General features: G+C 35.9%; 1 long non-coding RNA gene across 1 annotated transcript, besides 1 other annotated feature; it reads right to left on the reverse strand.

Moving 5' to 3' along the window:
* Positions 1–3,553: 3,553 nt before the first annotated feature.
* On the reverse strand, positions 3,554–26,402 carry LOC105373769 (uncharacterized). Its single transcript, XR_923636.3, has 3 exons — positions 26,322–26,402; positions 11,096–11,235; positions 3,554–3,637 (listed from the first exon to the last, which is right to left on the reverse strand). It is a non-coding gene; the product is annotated as an uncharacterized LOC105373769 (long non-coding RNA).
* Positions 22,502–22,726: a silencer, noted in NCBI's record as "fragment chr2:181293207-181293431 (GRCh37/hg19 assembly coordinates)". NCBI's record gives its function as "represses an EF-1alpha promoter that drives an FKBP-Casp9 reporter gene in an ReSE screen in phorbol 12-myristate 13-acetate-treated (for megakaryocytic differentiation) K562 erythroleukemia cells {active_cell/tissue: K562(+PMA)}" and the evidence as "EXISTENCE:reporter gene assay evidence [ECO:0000049][PMID:32094911]".
* Positions 26,403–27,325: the final 923 nt, after the last annotated feature.

Here is a 27,325-nt window from a genome sequence, read left to right on the forward strand (position 1 = left end):
AGCCTGCAAAATACCACAAAATCAGTAAGGTATGGAGCACGCCTAGAATCCTGCTTTGTAGACTGTAGTAGTTATTTCCATCATAACACGCAAAAGGGACACACTGCAGCTTTGAACAAATCTGCCATTATCACTGGCAAAATTTTACATCCTTTACAAATGATACCAAGTAGATCTGCTTCTCAGGTAGACTACGATACACATTTCTGGCATAGAAATCAGTCACTGTGAACCTTTGAATCACATTCTGTCTCTGTCAGGAAGAATTCTAACTGTCAGGAATCTGTTACTATTTCGTAGGCAAAATGAAAATTGTATGATTCTGCCTTACAGGACTGAGAAGTGCAAAAATACCGAGAAAGAAGAATTTCACAGGAATAAGATGATGCTTCATAATGTTTTGTAACATTAGATCATCTTTCTTCCTGAATTCATTGCTTGCATCCTGGGTATGGCTGAGATGATGAGAATAAGATGGCAGTGAAGAAATAAAATGAAGGAACAGGAAATTCATGGTTGACGTTCAAACCTGCTAGTAAGTTATGTCCCTGACCAGTGCCTCCTCCTTTACTATCCTCTTACTTTTCCAAACAATTTAGTAATTCTGCTGCAGCATTTTGACTCTCCTTGGTTAAGATTTTCACAGCTTTGCCAACTGACATCAGTCACCTCATTCCTTACTCCACATTTCTGTGTTTTTCTTTCCCTCCTCTGAGGGGAAGTATCTCTTCTTGATGCTCTTTTTTTGCACATTTAGAGTTAATAATTTGTCCATGTTTTTGTCAATTGTACTTATGTGTCTAGAAATCTCAGGGAAGTCATCTACTCCTTAAAGAAGAGTCATTTTCTCTTTTCTTTTTCTTTTTCTCTGGTACATTGCACAACATCTACAATGTTAGCAGGGGGTCTTTAATCCACAGTGCCACTAGCAAAGCTGAGTAGCTGAATAACATGGCAGACGCTCCTGATGCTTCGCTATTCTTCTTAGAGAAGGGGAGAGAAAGAGGACATTAGAGGAGTGCTATATATGAAATGGTTAAAAAAAAAGGGCGGGGGGAAGAGTGGATGCAAAACTTAACGTAATGATTCACAAAAATAAAATAAGTTGCCTTTCAAGACCCCAAGGTTGCAAGATACCCGGAGAACTTTATTACTGTTTTTCTCTCTGCATCTTCCCATTCTCATCATGTGATTTGGCTTTTTTCAATAAGACCTATGTACAGCCTTTTTGCTTTCATACTTACTACAAAAAACATTTCTTTTTTTAAATCTGTTAACCTCTAAACTGATCTCCCAGTACGCTTTGGCCTCTTTACTGTATGCACTTCTTTCAGATTAACTTTTCAAAATCACTTTCCTGTTCAGTCCATTCCCCTGCTAAAGATTTCTACCCATTGGCAACCACCTTAGAACCTACACTGGGATAGGAATACAAAGATATCAGTGATGTAACCCTACCATTGTAAACTTAAATACTTCAATTCCAATATACCTTCCAACTAAAACTGGACTGTTTCCTGTTCCTTGCAATGTTCTGTCCCCAGGGCTTTGCCCCCCTATCTACCTGGAACTCTTTATTGTATTATTTTATAGACAAATCTCATCTTTCAGGCATCATTCTAAATGATACGCTCTCTACAAAGTATTAATCTTTTAAATTCAGATAACCTTCTGTTGCTTCTCATGCCACTAAGCATATTCTATCTGGTATTGGAGATATCTCTGTACTTGTTTTTATTTCTATAAGAGGACTATAAACTCTGTAAGAGCAAGAGTATTGTAACAATTTTTACTTGTTAGTAGTCAATGATTTACATAATACCATGTGAATATTAGACACTCAATTAATAATATTAATTTTTTAAGCTAACTGAAACATGAGCCAAATGACAGGGGCAATTCAGAGAAAATAAGTCAGTTTTATGAAATGCTGTTAAAACACACACACACACAAATACGTATATCTGATACACACACAAATATATACACACACAAATACATATATCTGATACACACACAAATATATACACAGACATTTATACAAATGTATGTATGTATATACACATACATATATACTATATACACAGATATATACTATGTATGTATGTGTATATACAAATATATACATATACACATATTTATATATGTAAACAAGAAATACAAAACAAGAGGATCTGGGACTTTCTGAAAACACTTTATCTCTGTTTGTTTCATGCACATTCCTAAGTGTTGTTCTCTATATTCTGATACTTCTACAACTCTTTGCCTCCCTTCTTTACCTTCCAAATTCATTTAGCACAGATTTCACCCATATTAACGCTTGAAGGGTCCCAAGAGGGCCCATGAAAAAAATTGTGGTAGTATTCATCCCACCCTCATTCCCCGCCCCCAGCACTGATGGAATTCTGCTGGATCTGGTGTAATAATTTTTGCAACCAATGATATACTCAACAAAATGTCATTCGTTTTAGACTAAAATACAGCATTATCCAAGTTCATAAAGGGCAGGCACTATGGAATGTTTTCTCTGAGGAACTAATGCTACATATTTAGCTGAGTTAATAAAGAAGCAGTATGGCCTAAAGAAGCAAAAACTTTATATTGTGATTGGCTTGAATCTTTTCTTTCACATCCTGTACCAGACAGAGAAGATTTACTGTGAAGCTAAAAATGTTTCGTTGATGTTTCAGGGCCCCATATTTGTATGGGCCCCAGGACAGGCCATAGCAATTTTGTGTTTGTAATTTTGTATTTTACTATTTTCAGCATTACCTTTTCCAACCCCTGTCAAGTTGTAGAAGCTTCAAGCCTCACAAAACATAGACTTGCGCCCATGTTATGACTTCCTCCAAGCAGGGTCCTGACATTGCTAATCTTCTGAATGAACAGCAGTTACATTGATAGAAAGGAGTTATAAACTTACAGCGCTTTGTTTTTTTTGATTGGGAAAAATTCCCATCCACTTCTCTTTCTATGCCTTTTATTCATCACTTGTCAGTACAAAAATACAACAAATAATAAAGGACACATATTTTCATAAAATAGCAATTAAACAATGTCTATTTTTATTTCAACCAAGAGTAGAGCAATAAGTTGTATCCGAAATGAGAGAAATTATTTCCATATTATGTTGAATAATACACATATCAGAGCAAAGACCATAGGAAGACAGACAAGGAGAAAACATAAGAGCTATTATAAGTAGTGATTGTGAGAAAACATATGCAATATACTAGATAAAAGGAGAATATCTCTAATAGCTGACAGACAGCTCCCTGGATCATTTGTGTTTCTGCACATCTTATAAATAAGGCATTAACTGTCCTTTGTTCTGGACTATGTCTTCAAGAATGTATGGATAGCAAACAACATTGGAAGTTATAGACAGTGTCTATCTCTGGAGCAAAAGGCAGGAATGCTGACTGTCCATTATAAAAACTTTGGGTTTCTTCCCTTTAACACAACTTACTGAATGTGCAGATGTCATCTAGCCCCATCGGCAACATCCGTGTGGGACTTGTAGGTGAAGAGAACTGACCCAAACATACTGATGCTCATGATGCTTCCTGTGTCCTGAGAAATAATGCCCTTTGTCTCTGACCCAGGAGTCTTGTGTCTTCTGCCTGCATCCATAAAACTATAGCAGAATGACTGTTAGTTTTCAAGTAGTGTAAAATTTCAAATCTTCACAGATTTTGACACGTATACAGTGAGCTTATGCAACTTAATAAAAACGAATAGAAAAGCAAACTAGTAAGATAAATATTTAGTAGAACATAAAAATGTAAACATCTATACTTTAATACCTTTACATCTTTACTCATCAGGAGTTATTAAATAATATTAAGATGTCATTTTGCACTCATCAATTGACAAAAACTAAAAAAAATAGCAATAGGAACCAGACGCAGAGAAGAGATAGACAAACAGATACTTTCATGTATTGCTGGTGGATGTGAAAAGTAATAAAACAGTTTAGAAAAGTTGTGTGTTTATATCTTCTTGGCCAGCCGTCCCACTTTTGAAATCTATCAAAGGGAATAAAACTCCAATGACTCTGTCTGTCTTTCTTTCTCTCTGTCTCCCTCTCTATATATACACAAGTATATGTGTGTGTATGTATGTATGTGTAATCTTTAGATATAGGTAGCTTATCCTTGTCTGAAATGGGATGCAATTATGAGAAAGAAAATATTAGATCACTATGTATTAACTTGAAAGGATGCCCATGAATTATTAAGTTACAAAATTACAAATGTAATATAAGAAGTGATTTGATTCTTCTTTTGAAAAAGAATAAACATAGTACATACATGTGTGTATGTGTAACTTTATTGTAATCTGTCACAATGGGCAAGTAAGGATTGAATATATTATTTAATCCAAAGGTAACTGCAAATTGACTTTCCTCTGGTGCTGTGGAAGAGATTAATAACTTACACTGAGCTAGCATCTCAATCTCAATAGCAGCTTAGTCAAAGCTGCAGTTAGGCTTTGGAATCAGACAGACTGGAATTCCTATCTGGATTGGACAGCTGACTGGCTGAATGAACCTGGGCAAGTCATTTGGTCTTTCTGAGCCCCTGTTTATTATCTGTTAAAATGGAAATAACAATAGTGTCTACCTCACATATTTTTAACTTACAGTTCTGTCATAGAGTCAATGATGGTATTGGTAATGAAATTTACCACTTAAAGTGGATATTTTATGTGATTCTCTTCTTGTCTTTTAAAAATAGTAGATAGCTCACTTAGCTGCCTATACAGAAATGATAATACCTCAGATTTTCTCACTATTTTTCTATACAAGCTCATCAAACAACAATTGAACAAAGGCCTTGAGGTGCCCAGAAAGCCGAAGTGTGCACATTGTTAGTGCTGTTTATCTTCAATGAAGATTAGAACTGCGACCATTAGATGGCTTAATGGGTGTGAAGAAAACCTTTAGTAATACAGCTAAAGTATCATTAGCATGTTTACAGTTTACCATCTGAAACAACTGTTATATTTTACAAATGAAAAAATAATTATCCCACACCTTCCTTAAGTAAAAACCATAGTTTCCTGTCAAATTGAGTGCAAGAAATCCCTAAAAAAATGTAAAAAGGCTGTTGTCCAAGTTTTTATTTCAATAACATCAGAGAAAATAAACCAGCTGAGCTACTTGTCATTTTCTTTAATTTCTCAACTATGGAGTGCTTCAGTGAAGGAGCTATTTATAACTCTCATTTCTCCTTTAAATTCTTACCTTGTAGCGATCTAGCTAGATTGGAGAAAAGCCCTAATTTTGTTCAGGATTGCATAGGCTGCCATCAAATCATGGTTTTGAATTAATCAAAAGTCTGATTACTCTCCCTGAAACTACACAAGTATTAATGGTTTCCTTGTCAGCACTTAATGAGAATTTTCTTTGGATTGATAGTCTCCAGTGCTTTGTTCATTCACGTATGTACAATTTTTAATCATCAGTTTAGGTAAGATGTGAGTATTTGTTTTCAAGTTGTAGAAGATAATGGGACTATTAATGTAACTTAAAAGTAGAATCTGGAAAGTTGGCATGCTAAAATATGAACATAAAGATGCTGGAATCTGGAAGCTCCATGTCTCAGGGTGTTGATATTATTGTGGAAACCAAATGAAATCCTACAGAGCAAGGACTATGCTATAGACACTGCCTCTATATTTCTAGGACCTAGAGCAATACCTGGCACCCAGCCCCAGGGGAAGAAAAGGGAGGAGGAAAACACTTGACCAAAATGCAGCAAAGCGAGACATTAGTTAAAACATTCACTTCGTGCTAGAAAGAAGTTGTGGCTTCATTTATGTGTCAGAGCTTCTGTTAAACATTTTCTAAAGTCAACATACACATGATGCTTTATTTCCTCTAAGATAAAATGTCAGTTTCCGGGAATAGAATCATGGTGAATGCCCCTTCTGTCTTATCCCTCTCAATCCCTTGTCAAGCGACAACTTCAATAGCTATTGAAAGGAAAGGCACATGTGCACAGAGAGTTAAAACATTTCTTACACGGTGTTAAGAAGGTCAGCAGAGATTTCAAGGTCATTTTTGCCTTCTATTTTCTTAGGACTCTGAGGAGAAAGATGATTTATGAAATGCATTCCTTTTCCATAAAGTGTGTTTGGTTTGGAGAGGATACCATTTAAGCATTAAATTAAATCATCTAATCATCATCAATAAAAGCCAGCTTTTAGTCACTTTTTAAAGATTTTTGAGCACTATAAAATAAAATCTCAAAGCTTTTAATTTCAAAATAAACAACATAATTGAAATAGTTTATTTTTTAATACATGAGGCTGTTTAAGAGGCCTAGGGGACCTAGAAATATTAAATGCTCTTTTCCAGATGGAAAGACAGGCAGAGGAAGAACCAGTGCGCAGAGAAGTCAGTAAATGAGATGGCATGACATAGCAGTTAAGACCACAGCCTCGAGAGCAAGCCAACACTTAATGTATTTCCGTTCTCAGACAAATCCCTTCACCTCTCTGTGGCTCGATTTTCTCATTCATAAAATGTACATAATGGTAGTAACTTTCTCTCAAGGTTGTTTTGATGATTAGATGATTTAATTTATATAAAGCTGTCAGAAATATGTCTAACACACATTAAATGAGCCTTTGCAGTTATAAAAAGACAGAAATATGTTGGAAATAAAGATAAATACCAAAATAGTAATTATTTGTTAAATGTGACAGGTTTATATCTCTTGCCTCCAAGCTCCCAGAAACAAAAGACAGGATTCTTGTAGCTCTTCCATCCAGTGAGTCCAAAACTGTGCAGATGGGCAATTGCTAGTACAGATTCAGGGACTTTAAGAGAAAGAACAGAATGCAGAAATCACAGCTGTGTCCAAGAGATGAATATTCCAGTTCCACAAATGGCTGTCCATCTCCCGGAGTCATTGTGCCAGTAGCAACTGTGGGCTCACTTGGAAAAGGAATGAGGTGGGCTGGGTGAGGTGGCTCACACCTGTAATCCCAGCACTTTGGGAGGCTGAGGTGGGCGGATCACCTGAGGTCGGGAGTTCCAGACCAGCCTGAACAACATGGTGAAACCCTGTCTCTACTAAAAATACAAACGTTAGCTGGGCGTGGTGGCAGGAATGTGTAATCCCAGCTACTTGGGAGGCTGAGGCAGGAGGATCGCTCAAACCTAGAAGCTGGAGGTTACAGTGAGCTGAGACCATGCCATTGCACTCCAGCCTGGGCAATAAGAGCAAAACTCCATCAGAACGAATGAAAAAGAAAAAAGAGAAAGAAAGAAAGAAAGAGGGAAGGAAAGAAAGAAAGAAAAGGAAGAAAGAAAAAGAAAGAAAGAAAGAAGAAGGAAAGAAGGAAGGAAAGAAAGAAAGAAAGAAAATGAAGTGGTTCTTAACCTGTGTTTTGTGGTGTTTGCTCATCATGACCCTGTCACCTGTGTGCTTCCAAAGTTGCAAAGCGTGACATTATATTTTCTTCTTCCATCAGTAATGGGTTTGCTTAACATCTGCCAGAGTAAAGGTTTAACTGAGCACACCCTATGTGTTGGCTGAGAGTCAGTTTCCAGTCAAAAAGCACAGTGACCAGCTTATCGGGAAGGTAAGTGTTGTTTGCACTTTGCCTTATGAGAGGAGCTCAGAGAGGGCAGATACAAACAGTGTCAGGGCTGAAGGGCAGCCTAGTACTTTGTAAGGCAAAGAACTGTGAGACCCTGTTATCTGACATTTATGATTATTTGGTTATCATTGACTACTTAATATTGTCTGAAGATTTTTAATTCCCTCAAGTATTTCTCTCTTGTTCCCACATACTTTCAAAGAGTACCAGGAACCCAGAGGTGAGAATCACTAGAATGAGTGCTAATGGCTTCAAGGTCATCAAGAATTATTTTTTAAATTATTTTTTATTTCAGTAGGTTTTTAGGAAGCAGGTGGTATCTGGTTAAATGGATAAGTTATTTAGTGGTGATTTCTGAGATTTTGGTGCACACATCACCAAGCAGTATACATTGTACCTGATGTGTAGTCTTTAATCCTTCACCCTCCTCCTGCCCTTTCACCCATGTCCCCAAAGTCCAATGTATCATTCTTATGACTTTGGGTCCTCATAGCTTAGCTCCCACTTATGAGTGAGAACATACGATGGTTGGTTTTCCATTACTGGGTTACTTCACTTAGAATAATGGTCTCCAATTCCATCCAGGTTGCTGTGAATGCCATTATTTCATTCCTTTTTATGGCTGACTAGTATTCCATTGTGTTTGTGTGCATATATATATATATATATATATATAAAATAGTATAAATATATATATAGTGTGTGTACATATATAGTATAACAGTATAAACAGTGTTTATAGTATAAGCAATGCCAGTGCTCAACTGGAGAATTGCTGTTAATTCCACTAAACAATATATATCATAAATATATAGTGAAATTATATGTATATAATTTCAACATATATAGTTGAAATTATTGTGGAAATCAAATGAAATGATATATATATATATATATATATCACATTTTCTTTATCCACTTATTGATTAATGAGCATTTGGGCTGGTTCTATATTTTTGCAATTGCAAATTGTGCTGCTATAAACATGCGTGTACAAGTATCTTTTTAGTATAATGACTTCTTTCCTTCTAGGTAGAAACCTAGTAGTGGGATTGCTGAAACAAATGGTAGATCTACTTTTTTTGTGGTTTTGATTTGCATTTCCCTGATAATTAGTGATGTTAAGCATTTTTCCATAGGCTTGTGTCACCAATAAATTTTTGATATGTAAATGTAGTCTTTTTGCATAGCTATGCAAATATGTATTATTATTTTATTTTTAAAATTGTCGATGTAAACATGAGGTAAAGTCTTTTTTTCAGTATCTATTTTCTCTTTTGAAATACTTACACAAATGATTGAGAAAAGGAAAACAATCATAGATCATTGTATTACCCTAAAAGGGCAAAGATTTTGGGATAAAGAAGGATGGGAAGGTAAGGGGTTTCCTAAATTTCTTGGCTTTTGCCTCGAATGACTATTTGTTAGGAGATTAAAGGTTTTTACAAAATGTGCCAGTGGCTGGGTGCGGTGGCTCATGCCTGTAATCCTAGCACTTTGGGAGGCTGAGACGGGTGGATTGCCCGAGCTCAGGAGTTTGAGAGCAGCCTGTGTAACATGGCAAAACCCTATCTCTACTAAAAATCAAGAAATTTGCCTAGCATGGTGGCACATGCCTGTAATCCGAGCTACTCAGGAGGCTGAGGCAGGAAAATCACTTGAACCTGGGAGGCGGAGGTTGCAGTGAGCTGAGATAGCACCACTTAACTCCAGCTTGGGAGAGCGACAGAGCGAGACTCTGTCTCCTAAATAAATAAATAAACAAACAACAGTGCCAGTGCTCAACTGGCGAATTGCTATTAATTCCACTATACAAGACTATGCCATTAATAGAAATGAATATTTTCACGTAGTGATATATTTTTAAATGATATTTATGGCAAACATCCGTTAGTTGACAACCCAGAGCTCTGGCATTTGCCATAACTTTGCAAAAAAAATTATTGTGCTAAACATAATTATGGTTATTTTTTCTTCAACGAAAAGCTTAGTACTGAAATTTGGTTATGTTCCAGAATCTAAATTTCTGTTTCCATCTGAGCAAGTCTACGAAGTAATTGGTCTATTTTATTAGTATAAAATTGACTGTATGGGTAACTTGAAATATATACACTGTACATACATGTCAGAAAAGTTACAAAATGGCAAAAATAATATGTTGTTCTTGCTTTCAGAGCAGGAAACAATGAAGTGGTGGGGGTGGGTGCTTGATGGGGTAGAAGCTTCAATTAAATGTCAGAATACTCAGGTTTCACTCCTGATTTAGAAACTTCACTGGAAACTGAAGCACATCGCTGAAGCTCATTAAGCTTCAGATTTCCCCTATGTAAATGGAATGCTAATATCTGATCCTATCATCCCAGTAAGTTTCTGTGAGGATCTTGTGATACGATGTATGTGAACACACTATGTAAATATATGGCAATATTCATCAAAGTATCGTCTTATGGTGCCCTATTCTCTTCTTGATACAAATATTTCATTTTCCCTGTTTTAAAATAGTCTTTTTTATTATACCAGGAATAAATGAATATTTTATCATCAGAGAAATACAAGCATTACCATAATATACATAAAAGAAAATGGAAGACCCCTGACTTGCCTGTCTCCAGATCTTCCTTCCTCTTTAGTGGTATCTCTATAAACAATTTAATGAGTTTTCTTTCAGAAATGTTCTAAGCATATATGTATGCAAGAATATGAAACATAATTTTATTTCATATAATTGGGATCACAAAGTTTATTTCTAACTCACAAATTTAGCTTGTTAAAACAGCACAAGGTTTTCCCCCCTCTGTTTTCCACTTAGGAAAAATGTGACACAATTAGCACTGCAGTTGTTTCAGGTAGAGAACTGATGGAAAAAGAAAGGTTAAAGGAGTCGTAGGAAAGATGGGACAGGTTTTTGTATTGCAACAAGGACAAAACCCATATACAAATGAATGTGTTTCAGTTCTCATAGTCATGAAACCCCATTGTGTTAACAAATGGGAAATAACACTTCATGGCAGCCAATCTAAAATAATCTCTATGTGATGAGTACCACTGGCAGATCCGCCAAGATGCACAGATTCTCAGTGTGATCACATAGATTTCATCGGTCACAAACAGAGAAAAGCTCATGATTGCACTGAAAACGATGGCAGTGGTGCCAGCCCAGAAATCACAGCTCAGGCTCCTGCACGATAGCAGACTATCACGCCTGCCACTTGACAGGTGTGCACTAAAATTTATGTAAAGCTTTTCTAGCCAAGCCATCAGGCTGCTAAAAAGAATAGTGAATGCCTTGAGCCTTGACATTTATTACAGCTTTGCCAGCATATCTGTCTTGTAGAGTGTGATTTGAAAAACGATATGTCTAACCATGATCTTAATAAGCTCATTTGTTCCAGGATCTCATTGTACTTGTGCTTGCTGATAGAAAAGGAGAGGGCCAACAATATAAATAAAGGAGGCTTCCTTGTGAAATGGCTGTACTTACTGCAATATGGAGACAGTCCTGATGTTTAACATTGCCAGTTGCCATACGTAAGAGAGGAATTACAGTGCTACTTTGAGACGTTTCATAACGGAGGGTCCAGTTCTTTAATAACCTTAATTTCAATCAATTTGCCACAAACACTGAAATTAAAGCATGCAGTAAATGTTCTGGTGGAGATGTAATATAATATAATAATATATATTATATTGTATGTAATTATATACAATATTACTAATATTAGTAAGTGATGTAGTTAGGCTTTGTGTCTCCACCGATATCTCATCTTGAATTGTAATCCCCAAAATCCCCATAATTCCCACATGTCAAGGGAGAGACCAGGTGAAGATAATTGAATCATGGGAGTGGTTTCCCCCAAGCTGTTCTAATGATAGGGAGTGAGTTCTTAGGAGATCTGATGGTTTTATAAGGGGATCTTAGTCCTTTGCTCAGCACTTCTCCTCCCTACCACCTTGTGAAGAAGGTGCCTTGCTTCCCCTTTGCCTTCCACCATGATTATAAGTTTCCAGAGGCCTCCCTAGCCATCTCTAAGTCAATTAATCCTCTTTCCTTTAAAAATTACCCAGTCTGAGGCAGTTCTTTTTAGCAATATGAAAATGGACTAATACAGTGAGGAAAAATTTCTTTAATTATATTTCAAAGAAAACTGAAGTTTTTTGTTTACCATTCATTTTTAAAAGACTAAAGATACTTTTCATGTATTTTTATTTATTATTGAAATACCCTTGGATGACAAAGATGGGACAAGTGTCATTCCCTGTTGATTCAGGAAAAGCAAAAAGAAGTCAGACAGATGCTTAAAACTAACTTGCCCCAGTGCCTGTACTATAGTTAGCAAACACATTTCTCAATTTTCAGTGTACAGTGCTTTTTTTCTGGATAAATATAAGCCTCAGCACACACCACCTGTATTTAAATACATTTATTTTTATAAATGCGCTTGTCTATTAAGATATAATATTGAAGCACAGATAATAAAATGGTACTTTAGAAAGCATTATTGTGTTATCAAGAAATGCAATATTTTTTTGTATTACAGAGGACTTGATCTTGCATTTCTTCTCCTTACTTCTATCAAAATAAATATTTCATTTAATGGAAATCTTATCCTCTTATCTTTTCTATTTCTTTATTCTAGTAAGTTCTTATGTCCTTTCCTGCCCATCTTTGTGCCTCTCAACATTATTTGTTTTCTGGTGAAAATAAATAACCAAGAACTCTAAAAAGACCCAATTAAGAAAAACTCTATAAATAAACAAAATTAGAGAGAACGGTAATACAGTGCAGTAGTCTATTTGCAAATGAATTTTAAAATCTAAATAAGATGAAATGAACAATTTTCTAGAAAATAGTAATTATTATTTTATTTATATAATTTTATTAATATAAAATATTTAAAAATATAATTAAGAAGAAGACATAAACTTGAACAGAGCTACTGGTGCATTCATAATTTTGGAGAAAACTGAAAATACCATCAGAGAATTACCTTCAGGAAGCAGATCCAATGAACAGACACTTCTCAAGACATACACGTGGCCAACAAATATATGAAAAAATGTTCGGCCAGGCGCGGTGGCTCACGCTTGTAAACCCAGCACTTTGGGAGGCTGAGGTGGGCAGATCACGAGGTCAGGAAATCGAGACCATCCTGGCTAACATGGGGAAACCCCGTCCCTACTAAAAATACAAAAAATTAGCCGGGCATGGTGGCGGGCACCTGTAGTCCCAGCTACTCGGGAGGCTGAGGCAGGAGAATGGCGTGAACCCGGGAGGCGGAGCTTGCAGTGAGCCGAGATCGCGCCACTGCACTCCAGCCTGGGCGACAGAGCGAGACTCCGTCTCAAAAAAAAAAAAAAAAAAAAAAAAAAAAAAAAAAAAAAAAGTCAACATCTTTAATCATTGGAGAAATGCAAATCTAAACCGTGATGGGATACCATGTCACACCACTCAGAATGGCTATTATTAAAGAGACAAAAAATAACAGATGTTGGTGAGGTTGCAGAGAAAAAGAATCATTTATACACTGTTGGTGGGAATGTAAATTAGTTTAGCCACTGTGGAAAACAGTTTGGAGATTTCTCAAAGACAAAATGAGCTACCATTTGACCCAGCAATCCCACTACTAGGTATATATTCAAAGGAAAATAAGTCATTCTACCAAAAAGACACATGCACTCATATGTTCATCACAGCACTATTCACATTAGCAAAGAAATAGAATCAACCTAGGTGCCCATCAACAACGGACTGGAAAGAAAAATGTGGTAAATATGCACCATGCGATACTACTCAGCCGCATATAAGGATGACATCATATCTTCTGCAGCAAAGTAGATGCAGTTGGAGGCCATTATACTATGCAAATTAACACAGGAACAAAAAACCAAATACCACATGTTCTCACTCATAAGTGGGAGTTAAACATTGAGTACATACAGACAAAAAGACAGGAGCAATAGACACCAGGGACTATTAGAAGAAAGAAGGTGGTAGGGGTGGAGAGGTTTACAAAACTACTTATTGGGTACTATGCTCACTACCTTGGTGATGAGATTTTTCATACAACAAATCTCAGTGACACAATTTACCCATGTAAAAAACCTGCACATGCAACCCCTAAACCTAAAGTAAAAGTTAAACAAGTAAATAAATAAGAAATTGATCCAAAGTATAGTACTTTTACCAGGCAATCATTTCATATTTTTCAAGTAACTGAAGATCTCCTTGGTAAATTTTCCCAGCATATTGAAAAGGATAGCATATTATATCACTTATTTTATGTTAATAGTAAAATTTGGTAGAGATGGTACACAGAAAGAAAATATTACAATACACTAGTCTCCTGGATACATACGAATAAATATGCAAAGTCCAAAATAAAATAAATACAAGTGAATTGAATATAGTACCATATTTTAAAATGCATTTTTCCTTTTCTTCTTTTTTTATATTTTTTCTTTTATTTACAACCAACCAAACCAAATAACATAGCTATAATTTTATCAATCTCAGAACTATAAATTTAAGTCAAACAGAACATAAAGATTTTTTTATATCAACTCATTTATTTTATTTTTTTGCTGGGGTAGAGGATGACATTTTATTTTTTATGTTTTTAAATTATACTTTAAGTTCTGGAGTATATGTGCAGAACCTGCAGTTTTGTTACATAGGTATACACGTGCCATGGTGGTTTCCTGCACCCATCAACCCCATCAAACTGTCACCTACATTTGGTATTTCTCCTAATGTTATCCCTCCCCAAGCCCCCCACCTCCTGACAGGCCCTAGTGTGTGATGTTCCCCTCCCTATGTGCATGTGTTCTCATTGTTCAACTCCCACTTATGAGTGAGAACGTGGTGTTTTTCTGTTCTTGTGATAGTTTGCTGAGAATGATGGTTTCCAGCTTCATACATGTCCCTGCAAAGGACATGAACTCATCCTTTTTTATGGCTGCATAGTATTCCGTGCTCTATATGTGCCACATTTTCTTTATCCAATCTATTATTGTTGGACATTTGGGTTGGTTCCAAGTCTTTGCCATTGTGAATAGTGTCACAATGAACATACGTGTGCATGTGTCTTTATAATAGAATGATTTATAATACTTTGGATATATACCCAGTAATGGGATTGCTGGGTCATATGGTATTTCTTGTTCTAGGTCCTTGAGGAATAGCCAGACATGTCTTCCACAATGGTTGAACTAGTTTACAGTCCCACCAACAGTGTAAAAGTGTTCCTATTTCTCCACATCCTCTCCAGCATCTGTTGTTTCCTGACTTTTTAATGATCACCATTCTAACTGATGCAAGATGGTATCTCATTGTGGTTTTGATTTGCATTTCTCTAATGACCAGTGAAGATCAGCATTTTTTCATATGTCTGTTGGCTGCATAAATATCTTCTTTTGAGAAGTGTCTGTTCATATCATTTGCCCACTTTTTGATGGTTTTTTTTTTCTTGTAAATTTGTTTAAGTTATTTGTAGATTTTGGATATTAGCCCTTTGTCAGATGGGTAGATTGCAAAAATTTTGTCCCATTCTGTAGGTTGCCTGTTCATTCTGATGATAGTTTATTTTGCTGTGCAGAAGCTCTTTAGTTTAATTAGATACCATTTGTCAATTTGGGCTTTTGTCATCATTGTTTTTGGTGTTTTAGACATGAAGTCTTTGCCCATGCCTATGTCCTGAATGGCATTGCCTAGGTTTTCTTCTAGGACTTTTATGGTCATAGGTCTTACATTTAAGTCTTTAATCTGTCTTGAATTGATTTTTGTATAAGGTGTAAGGAAGGGGTCCAGTTTCAGTTTTCTGCATATGGCTAGCCAGTTTTCCCAACATTTATTAAATAGAGAATATTTTCCCCATTGTGTGTTTGTGTCAGGTTTGTCAAAGATCAGATGGTTGTAGATGTGTGGTGTTCTTTCTGAGGCCTCTGTTCTGTTCCATTGGTCTATATATCTGTTTTGGTACAAGTATCATGCTGTTTTGGTTACTGTAGCCTTGTAGTATAGCTTGAAGTCAGGTATCATGATGCCTCCAGCTTTGTTCTTCTTGCCCACGATTGTATTGGCTGTGCAGGCTCTTTTTTGGTTCCATATGAAGTTTAAAGTGGTTTTTTCCAATTCTGTGAAGAAAGTCAGTGGTAGCTTGATGGGGATAGCATTGAATCTATAATTACTTCGGGCAGTATGGCCATTTTCACGATATTGATTCTTCCTATCCATGAGCAATTTTTCTTGATGAAGTAAAAGTATGTCTTACAATTAAAAAATTATTAAAATAAGCTGCCTAAATTGATTGAAAGAGAAAACCTATTAATAGTTTAATACTAAATGCATTTGATATATTTCAATGTCAATTTTTAAGCCCAGCTCAATTACTTCCTCCTCTAAGAAGACTTCTTTGATTTATTTGGGTGAAAGTAAGCTCTACTTTGAACAATCATATCACTAAATTTATTTTTTTTGTGTATAAAACCATTTACACTATATCTTATATTGTCAGTATTTGTGTATATACTATCATCTATTTTACTTAGCTATTATCTCCAAATAGTAGTGATTTTGTTGTATTAATTTCTTATCTCTCATAGCATCCAGGACAGAGTAGCTTCCTTATAAATGCTTTCTGAATAAACATATGAAATTAAACACATCCTACTTAAAATTATAAATGATAGAATATGTATAGATAGAAATAACAATTATTTGTATAGGCATCTTTTTTGGCATCATTTAATAATTGAGCACATCATTATATACCAGAAGTCAGAATGTAGCCTTTTGAACCACTTTGTCATCATGATACTTCTTCTTGGTTTATACATAGGAAGGGACTGGCATATTTTATTTCATGACAGGGGCTACAGTATTATTTACCCCGGGGAGATTTTTGTTATTTCTTTTTCTTTTTATGATTGGAGAACAGCAGAAAACTGTAGATAACGTAGTAATGCAATGAATAAAATTAATTTCTGTAAATTTTTGAAAATCATGAAGTTACATAATTACATTATGGAATTCTACAGTAAACTGAAATTCTTATAAAAATTATATAATGCTTTGCCTCTAAATAACCCAAAATGCTTTTATCTATGTTATATGATTTTATTTGGGTAAATTTATACACCGACTCATTTAATTATGAATCTTTATTAAGGAATTATAGCTTAAGGATAAATCCAAAGTTACCCATATTGTATGGGATTTACTCAATAATGCTCCCAATTAAAATGATACCATATTGCTTTGATCTCCAAATTACAAAATGTAGATATCTCTCCCAAATGTTTTGTTTGCCTCTGTGTGGCCATGTCATAAAGAGGTAGCCTGATGTAGTGGAAAAAAACCACAGGGTTTGGTTCCAGACAAAATCGGTGTCTTATTATTGCTCTGCCATTTATGTAGCTGGCTGAGATTGGGAATGTTATATAATGATACTGGGCCTTGATTTGTTTGTTCTCCCCATAGGAATAAGTACTTACACTGTATTTATGCTGAAGATGAAATTATATAATGAATCTGAAGACATGTACCAGGTGTTAAACTAATGCTAATTTTTCCCATTATGAAAGACCATGGGTCATTGGATTTTCTGTGCCTTTGCTAACTGGTTCTACAGGGTTTTATTTTTCTTCTGAGCATCTAGGGAAAAAAGAACACAAGTTCCAGGAGCTCAGGAGCAGGACTGTTATGTCCATCCAACAAGTTAACCCATGTTTGACAAGTAAAGATGCTCAATCAGTTAATGAAAAAGAAGAATGTGTGAAAAAATTGCTGAGTTTTTTTTCACTTTGTGCCCACCAAAAGATGATTTCTAAAAGTCATATGACAAAACATTTTTTTCATTGGCAATTTAAAATTCTTAAAATTTTTCAGTATCTCTTTGACATTCTCACTCCCCTCACTAATCCAAGTAAAACTCAAATTTAACTGCATGCATTTCTTAGGACTTGTTTATACACTTTCCTCATTGCTTTATATCTATTTTCTTCTATATTTATTCCTATCAATAGTATAAACCTAGCAGGATATAAATATAGGAATGTTTGTCTATTCTTTTCCTCCAGTTGCTGATCCAACCAGGCTATGCAAAATTTCCTTTTGTTGTCCCCTAAGGCTATGTCAGATAGATCGCATAACTCTTTGATCATTTTCAATTAATAAAATGTTATTTTTGGTTGAGCCCAGTTTAAGACATCTAGTTCATGTCTAATTTAATTATCCTCTCTTTTCTTTTTCCTAGGAATAGCTGAACTTCGTCCTGAGTAAGGGAGGGAACACAGTCCATTTTCCATTGCTCTCTCCCCTCTCATTTCTCACCCATTATCTCTTTTAGGAGAAAGAAGGTAATAAGAAATAAAAAGGATAGGCATTTCTTGCTTTTTCATTGTGATCCTCTCTTGGATGTTGCTGCTCCTCTAGTGAACCCTGACTGGCCATTGGTTTTTTTTGTGATGGCAAAAAAAAAAAAAAAATGCTTTAACTTTCATTGCAGGCACAGTTGAGTTCTTCAGGTACCTTATGGGGACATCTTCGTTACTGCTAAGACTTTTCCACTTTCCTTTTTTTCATATATACCCCAGCAGGGTGCCCCATAGCTTTTTGCCACTGAAGTTATTCTTCCAGCATGTGTTCATTTTAAATAGGGGTCCTAGGGAGTACCAAGTCTGGCTAATTTTTGCTACATCTACTTGAGCCACAGGAAACTTGCCAAGCCAAACGATGCAAGTAAAGGCTGCTCCACACTTGAGCTCTTCTCTGTCCTGCTATCTGTTTCCAATTCTTCTCTTTCCAGCTCAAACAGAAGCAAGGAGAAGATCCACAAGTTGGATGCTGCAAAATATTCTACTGAGAAATGAATTGTCCATGTTTACCAGCATCTCTAAACTCTCTGAATGATTCTCCTGGTCTCTTCCACCGTGATTCTCTGTAGACCCTCCTTCTGAATACAGTCAATGTCTCAGCAATCCTATGGCACCCTCCATCTCACATCTCTCTCCTTACTTTCTACTTAATTTTCATTGCATTTAGTCTAGGGTTTGGGAGCTCTGATATAACAGTTGAAAGTAGCAGAGCTAGTTTGGTTGTCTTCTAATAAATTCTAAAGTGGCTTTTCCCTCCTCCTTAATTTTGCTGTCTTCAGAATATATGAGTACTTGACAACATTTGTCTTGATTATGAATTCAATAACTAATTCTTGTGATATAGAGAAAGAAACTATCACTAATTTATTAATTTTTAAAAGTAGTGCTGTCTTTTCTTTCCACCATTTCCAATCAAAATGATGGAAATATAATTTATTGCCCAGATATCATTATGTCTTTTCTTTATTGAAAGTATAGGAATACTGAGGAGGTAGGGAAGTCCAAGAGGAGCAAATATGTACAAATCAATTACTATAACTATCAAAAGGTTGAGGGAGGGCCAAAAAACAACTTGCTGAAGCAAGACAAAAATAGTAATAAGGTGCCATAAACTTTAAGTGTTTATTGCTTCAGAGTATAGGTGGAACTGGCTTAGCTTCAACTAAACAGATGAAGCTGTGTGCTATTGTGCACTCAGTACCAACAGTAGTGAGAAGATAAAAGATAGACATGTACAGCCCATGGGAGGTACAAGAGCCCTCATTATAGCCCCTCATCCTGCCAAGAATTTACAACAGAACTCACTATGCTCTGCATCAACAAAAGACCAAGATTACGGCTAACCCAAACAGAAAGTCTATCAGTGGTGGGCTTTCCTCTGACCCAATTTTTCTTTGACTGATGACTTCATCTGGACGCAGGGAAGTGCTCTCCTGAACCTAAAGGATACTACTACAAACAGATGGTGACTTCTCTGCCTTAGACACAGAAATGCTGAAAAACACGTGGGATCCAATCAGACATAAAGACTACAAGTTTATAAAGTAGATTCAGGTCAAGATATTTAAAAATCTATATTCAAAAATTTTAAAAATAACAAATATTTTATTTCCTCTTGAATGTATTGGCACCAAATTAAGACATATATGAAGGGTACACAGTATATAACACGTCCAGAAATTATTTATATATTTTATATAGCAAGACCTTAAACATATATTTCAACCATGAAATTAAGTTAAGTTTCTACTATACTTTCAAAATGGAGAATTCTGAGGAACTTCTATTTTCAGATAACAGTCTTGGTTAATGATTTAAAGAGTTACATCATCAAAAAGTCAGATTAAAGCAAGAAAGAGGATCTAGGGGTCAGGAAGCAGAGGATCCTGCAGAGGAGAGAAGCAAAGAGAATTTTTAGAATGATAGTGAAAAGAAGGGCAACCATGTGTATTAGTGATAAATCAGTAAAGTTTGGAGCTGAGTGATACAGAGGGCCAGGAAGATAAAATAGAAAGAATGGCTAATTGTAGATACTATAGGGAAGAATTTTAAAATAAAGCAAAAAATGACCCACCAATACCTCTGTTGTGTATATACCCAAAGGAAATGATATGAACATTTTATAGAGCTATCTGTACCCCCACGTTCATTGCAATATTATTCACAATAGCCAAAATATAGAAACAACTTAACTGTCCATCAATGGGTAAATGGATAAAGAAATTGTGGTATATATACATAATGGAATATCATTCAACCTTAGCAAAGGAGATATTGGCATTTTCAGAAACATGGAGGACATTATGCTAAGTGAAATAAGACAGAGAGAAAAATGAAAAGCCCACATGATTTTATTTACATGTGGAATTTAAAGGGAAAGCTGAAAACATAAAACCAGGAATAAAATGGTGAAACCCTATCTCTACTAAAAAAAAAAAATACAAAAATTAGCTGGGCGTGGTGGCACACACCTGTAATCCCAGCTGCTCAGGAGGCTGAGGCAGGAGAATCACTTGAAAGCGAGTGGTGGAGTTTGCAGTAAGCTGAGATTTTGCCACTGCACTCCAGCCTGGGTGACAGAGTGAGACTCTGTCAAAAAACAAAACAAAATAAAACAAAACAAAACAAAAACCACCACAGATAAGGAATTTATAATTTGGACTCCTCTTAGATAAATTTAACAAAGAGATTGAAATGGTTTTTCAAAAATCAAGCAGAAATTCTAGAGCTGAAAATTCAATCGACATATTGAAGAATGCATCAGACATGCCAACGACAGAATTGATCAAGTAGAAGAAAGAATTAGTGAACTTGAGGACAGGCTATTTGAAAAGACACAATCAGAGGAGACCAAAAAAAGATTTTAAAAAATGAAGCCTGCCTACAAGATCTAGAAAGTAGCCTCAAAAAGGCAAATCTAAGTATTATTGGCCTGAAAGAGGAGGTATATATATACACATTATATATATATATATATATATATATATATATACACACACACATTTTATATATATATATATTAGAAAGTTTATGCAAAAGCATAACAGAGAACTTTCAAAACCTGGAGAAAAATATTAATATTCGAGTACAGGAAGGTTTTTAGACTACCAAGGAGATTTAACTCAAAGAAGACTACTTCAATATATTTAATAATCAAACTCCCAAATGTCAAGGATAAAGAAAGGATCCTAAAGTCAGCAAGAGAAAAGAAACAAATATACAACAGAGCTTCGATATTTCTGATCTTCCACTGAAGCAGACTTCTCAGTGGAAACCTTACAGGCCAGGAGAGAGTGGCATAACGTATTTAAAGTGCTGAAGGAAAAAAAAATTATCCTACAATAGTTTAACCAGTGGAAATACCCTGCAATCATGAAGGAGAAATAAAAATTTTCCCAGAAAAACAAGAGCTGAGGAACTTCATCAACACCAGACCTGTCTTACAAGAAATGCTAAAGGGAATTCATCAGTCTGAAAAGAAGTACATGAACAAGTAATAAAAAATAATCTGAAGGTACAAAACGCAATGGTAATAGTAAGCACAAAGAAAAACACAGAATATTGTAACACAGTAATTGTGGTGTGTAAGCTACTCATATCTTGAGTAGAAAGACTAAATCATGAACCTATGAAAAAATAATATTAACTGTCAAGATACAGACGGTATAATAAGATACACACAGAAACAACAAAAAGTTAAAAAGCAGGGGAACAAAGTTAGAGTTTCTATTAGTTTTCTTATAGCTTGTTTGTTAGTTTGTTTTTGCAATCAGTGTTAAATTGCCATCAGTCTAAAGTAATGTATTATAAGATGTTATTTGTAAGCCTCATGATAACCTCATATCAAGAAGCCTGCAACTGATACACAAAAAATAAAAAGCAAGAAATTAGACATACCACTGGAGAAAATCAGCTTCACAAAAAGGAAGACAGGAAGGAAAGAAACAAACAGGAGATCAGAAAACAACCAGAAATCAAATGACTAAATGGCAGGAATAAGTCCTTACTTATCAACAATAACACTGAATGTAAATGGACTAAACTCTCCAATCAAAAGACAGAATAATTGAATGTATAATAAAACAAGACTCAATGATCTGTTGCCCACAAGAAATGCACTTCACCTATAAAGACACTTATAAACTAAAAATAAAGGGAAGGAAACTGATATTCCAGACAAATCAAAACAAAATAAGAGAAGAAGCAGCTATACTCACTTTAGACAAAATAGATTTTAAGACAAAAACTGTGGAAACAGACAAAGAATGTCATCATATAATGACAAAGTTGTCAATTCAGCATGAGCATATAACAATTGTAAATATATATGCATTCAACATATGAGCACACAGATATATAAAAAAAAAGTTAGCAGAGTTACAGAGAGAGAGATTGACGCCAATATGACAATAGCTTAAGACTTCAGCATCCCATTCTCAGCATTTGACAGATCATCTGGGGTCTGAAGGATGGTGGCCCTCCTCTCACAGCTCCACTAGGCAGTGCCCCAGTGGGGACTCTTTGTGGGAGCTTTGACCCCACATTTCCCTTCCACATGACCCTAGCAGAAATTCTGTATGAGGGAGGGCTTCACCCCTGCAGCAAACTTCTTCCTGGCCATCCAGGCATTTCCGTACATCCTCTGAAATCTAGGAGGCAATTCCCAAGTTTTAATTCTTAACTTCTGCGTATTCTCAGGGTCAACACCACATGGAAGCTGCCAATGCTTGGGGCTTCCACCCTCTGAATCTATGGCTCATGCTGTATACCTTAGCCCCTTTTAGCCATGGCTGGAGTAGCTGGGATGCAGAGTACCAAGTCCCAAGGTTGCACACAGCAGGAGTCCCCTGGACCCAGTCCAGGAGACCATTTTTTCCCCTAGACCTCCAGTCCTGTGATGGGAGGCACTGCTTCAAAGGCCTCTGACATGCCCTGGAGACATTTTCTCCATTGTCTTGGCCATTAGCATTTGGCTCCTCATTATTTCTGCTTGAATTTCTGCCCAGAAAATAGATTTTTCTTTTCCACTGCATTGTCAGGCTGAAATTTTTCCAAAGTTTTAGGCTCTGTCACCTCCTGAGTGCTTTGCTGCTTAGAAATATCTCCTGCCAGATACCCTAAGTTATCTCTCTCAAGATCAAAGTTACACAGATCTTTAGGGCAGGGGCAAAATCCTGCCAGTCTCTTTGGTAAAGCATAACAAGAGTCACCTTTGCTCCAGTTTCCAACAAGTTCCTCATATTCATCTGAGACCACCTGAGCCTGGACTTTATTGTCCATATCACTATCAGCATTTTGGTTAAAGCCATTCAACTAGTCTCCAGGAAGTTTCAAACTTTCCCACATTTTCTTGTGTTTCTCATAGCCATCCAAACCTTCCAACCTCTGCCTGTTACCCAGTTCCCATGTTGCTTCTACATGTTAGGGTATTCTTATAGCAGCTCCCCACTTCTGGTACCAATTTACTGTATTAGTCCATTCTCATGCTGCTAATAAAGACATACCCAAGACTGGGTAATTTATAAAGGCAAACAGTTTAATTGACTCACAGTTCAGCATGGCTAAGGAAGTCTCAGGAAACTTATAATCATGGTGGAAGGGGAAGCAAACACATACTTTTTCACATGGTGGCAACAAGGAGAAGTGCCAAGCAAAGGGGGAAAAGCCCCTTATGAAACCATCAGCTCTTGTGAGAACTCACTCACTATCATGAGGATAGTTTGAGGATAACCACCTCCATGATTCAATTACCTCCCACTGGGTCACTCCTACAACATGTGGGGATCATGGGAATTACAATTCAAGATGATATTTGGGTGGGTACATGGCCAAGCCATATAAACATGCAAGTCAGTAAATATAACACACATATCAACAGAATAAAGGAGACAAACCATATGATTATTTCAATTGATGCTGAAAAAGCATTTATAACATTCAACATTTCTTCATCATAAAAATCCTCTGAATACTGCGTACAAAATGAGCATACCTCAACACAGAAAAAAACCATATATGACAGACCCATAGCTAGTGTCATACTGATTGGGGAAATATGAATATCCTTTTCTCTAAAATCTGAAACATGACAAGGATGTCCAGTTCACCACTGTTATTCAACATAGTACTGGAAGTCCTAGCTACAGCAATCAGACAAGATAAAGAGATAAAGGGCACACAAATTGGAAAATCAAATTATCCTTGTTTGAAGATGATATGATCTTATATTTAGAAAAACCTAAAGACTCTACCAAAAAGCTATTTGAACTGATAAACAAATTCAGCACTGTTGCAGGATAAAAAAAAAAATCAGCATATAAAAATAGTAGCATTTCTGTATGCTGACAGTCAATAATCTAAAAAAGAATTCGAGAAAGTAATCCCATTTACAATAGCTACAAATAAAATAAAACACCTAGTAATTAACTTAACTGGAGAAGTGAAAGATCTCTATAATGAAAATTACAAAACATTGATGCAAGAAAGGAAGAAAACCCAAAAAGGGAAGATATTCCCTGTTCATGATTTGGAAGAATCAATATTATTAAAATGTCCATAATACTTAAAGTAATTGATAGATTTAATGCAACATCTTGCAAAATAGCAATGATATTCTTCACATAATTAGAAAATACAATATAAAATTCATATGGAATCACAACGGCCAAAGCTATCCTGAGCAAAATAATAAAAACTGGAGGAATCACATTACCTGAGTTCTAATTATACTACAGAGCTATAGTAACCGAAACAGTACAGCACTGGCATAAAAACAGACACATAGACCAATAAAACATAATAGAGAAGCCAGAAATAAATCTGTACATCTACAGTAAATTCATTTTCAACAAAGGGGCCAAGAATATACCCTGGAGAAAGAACAGTCTCCGCAATAAATGATGCTGTTAAAACTGGATATTCATATGCAGAAGAATGAAACTAGATCCCTATCTCTTGCTGTATACAAAAATCAAATCAAAATGGAATAAAGACTTAAATCTGTGACTTCCAACTCTTAAGCCACTAAAATAAAACATTGGAGAAATGCTCCAGGACGTTGGACTGGGTGAAGATTTCTTGAATAATAATAAGCACAGACAGCCAAAGCAGAAATGGGCAAATGGAATCACATCACATTGAGTTAAAAAGCTTCTGCACAGCAAAGAACACAATCAACAAAGTGAAGAGACAACCTACAGAATGGAAGAAAATATTTGCAAACTCTCCATTCTGACAAGGAGTTAATAACCACAATATATATGGCACTCATACAACTCTATAGGAAAAAATCTAATAATCTGATAAAAAAATTGGCAAAATATCTGAATAGACATTTCTGAAAAGAAGACATACAAATGGCAAACAGACATATGAAAAGGTGCTCAACATCATTGGTCATCAGAAAAGTGCAGATAAAACTACAATGAGATATCATCTCATCTCAGTTAAAATTGTTTTAATCCAAAAAACAGTTCATAACAAACGCTGATGAGGATGTGTAGTAAAAGGACACCTCATACACTATTGGCGGGAATGTAAATTAATATAACCACTAGGGAGAACAGTTTGGAGGTTTCTCAAAAAACTAAAGGTAGAGCTACCATATGATCCAGCAATCCCACTGCTTGGTATATATCCAAAAGAAAGGAAGTCAGTATATTGAAGAGATATCAGCACTCCTATATTTATTGCAGCACTATTCACAATAGTCAAGATTTGGAAGCAATCTACATGTGTATCAACAGATAAATGCACAATCTACGTGTGTATCAAAGAAAATGTGGTATATATACACAGTGGAGTACTATTCAGCCCCCCAAAATAGAGATCTTGTCATTTATAATAACATGAATGGACTTGGAAGACATTATGTTAAGTGAAATCAGCCAGGCATAGGAAGACAAATGTCACATGTTCTCACTCATTCACTGTAGCCAAAAATTAAAACAACTGATCTCATTGAGATAGAAAGAGGATGTTTATCAGAGGTTTGGAAGGGTAGTGGTAGGGGAGGGGAATTGGGACTGGTTAATGGGTACAAAGATATAGTTAGAGAAAAAGAATAGATTTGGTATTTGATAGCACAACAGGGTGATTAAAGTCAACTAATTTATTGTACATTTCAAAATAACCAAAATGGTATAATTGGAATGCTTACAACACAAAAGATAAATGCTCGAGTGGACAGATTTTCCATTTATTCTGATATTATTATTATGCATTGTATGCCCGTATCAAAATATCTCATGTATCCCATAAATATACACACCTATGTACCCAGAAAAATTGTAAAACTAAAAATTAAAAGAAATTGCAGTGAGGTATATACATACGTCCGGAGATGAAATGTATAGCAGAAGTCATGTAGGGCAGGTTTTAGGCTTCACTCAGGAAGGAATTCAAGAGTGAGCCAGTGGTGGAAGGAAACAACTCTTTTTTTTTTTTTTTTTTTTGAGACGGAGTCTCGCTCTGTCGCCCAGGCTGGAGTGCAGTGGTGCGATCTCCACTCACTGCAAGCTCCGCCTCCCGGGTTCACGCCATTCTGCTGCCTTAGCCTCCAGAGTAGCTGGGACTACAGGCGCCCACCACTACACCCGGCTAATTTTTCTTTTTTGTATTTTTAATTGAGATGGGGTTTCACTGTGTTAGCCAGGATGATCTCGATCTCATGACCTCATGATCCGCCCGCTTTGGCCTCCCAAATTGCTGGTATTACAGGTGTGAGCCACCGCGCCGGGCCAGGAAGCAGCTTTAATGAGCAACGGTGTTACAGTTCCATGATTGCTGTGCAGAGCAGGGCTACACCACAGGCAATACAAGGAGAATAGCAGTGTTGGGGCAGTTTTCAGTCATTCTTATACCTGCTATTAATGACATGCTAATTAAAGGGTGGGGTATTTAGAAATAGCCAGAAAATGGGCTGTAACTTTCAGGTGTTGCCATGGCAATGGTTAAACTGTCATAGTGCTGGTGGAAGTATCCTATGCTGATGGACAGTGAGAGGTGTTTTCAGCGCCTCTTCTCAGTTTTGGGCAGTCTTCAATCTGATCTGGAGATAAGGCCCTCCTGCTTCCTACCTCAGAAGGACTATAGTTAGTAATACTGTGTTGTATATTAAAAATTTGCTAAACACACACACACAGAAAAAAAGGTAACTATAGAAGATGATGGTTATGTTAATTTGCTTACTTGTAGTAATATTTCACTATATACTGTAAACAAAGGCAAAAAAAATTATTAATTGGGGGATTATATAAAAAATGAAATCATATTACACTATATGATAGCTTTTAACATTTATTTAGTCATCATTACATTAAAATGGAATGTTAATCTA

Source organism: Homo sapiens, chromosome 2 (genome assembly GCF_000001405.40).
Source record: "Homo sapiens chromosome 2, GRCh38.p14 Primary Assembly".
Classification (NCBI taxonomy): Eukaryota; Metazoa; Chordata; class Mammalia; order Primates; family Hominidae; genus Homo; species Homo sapiens.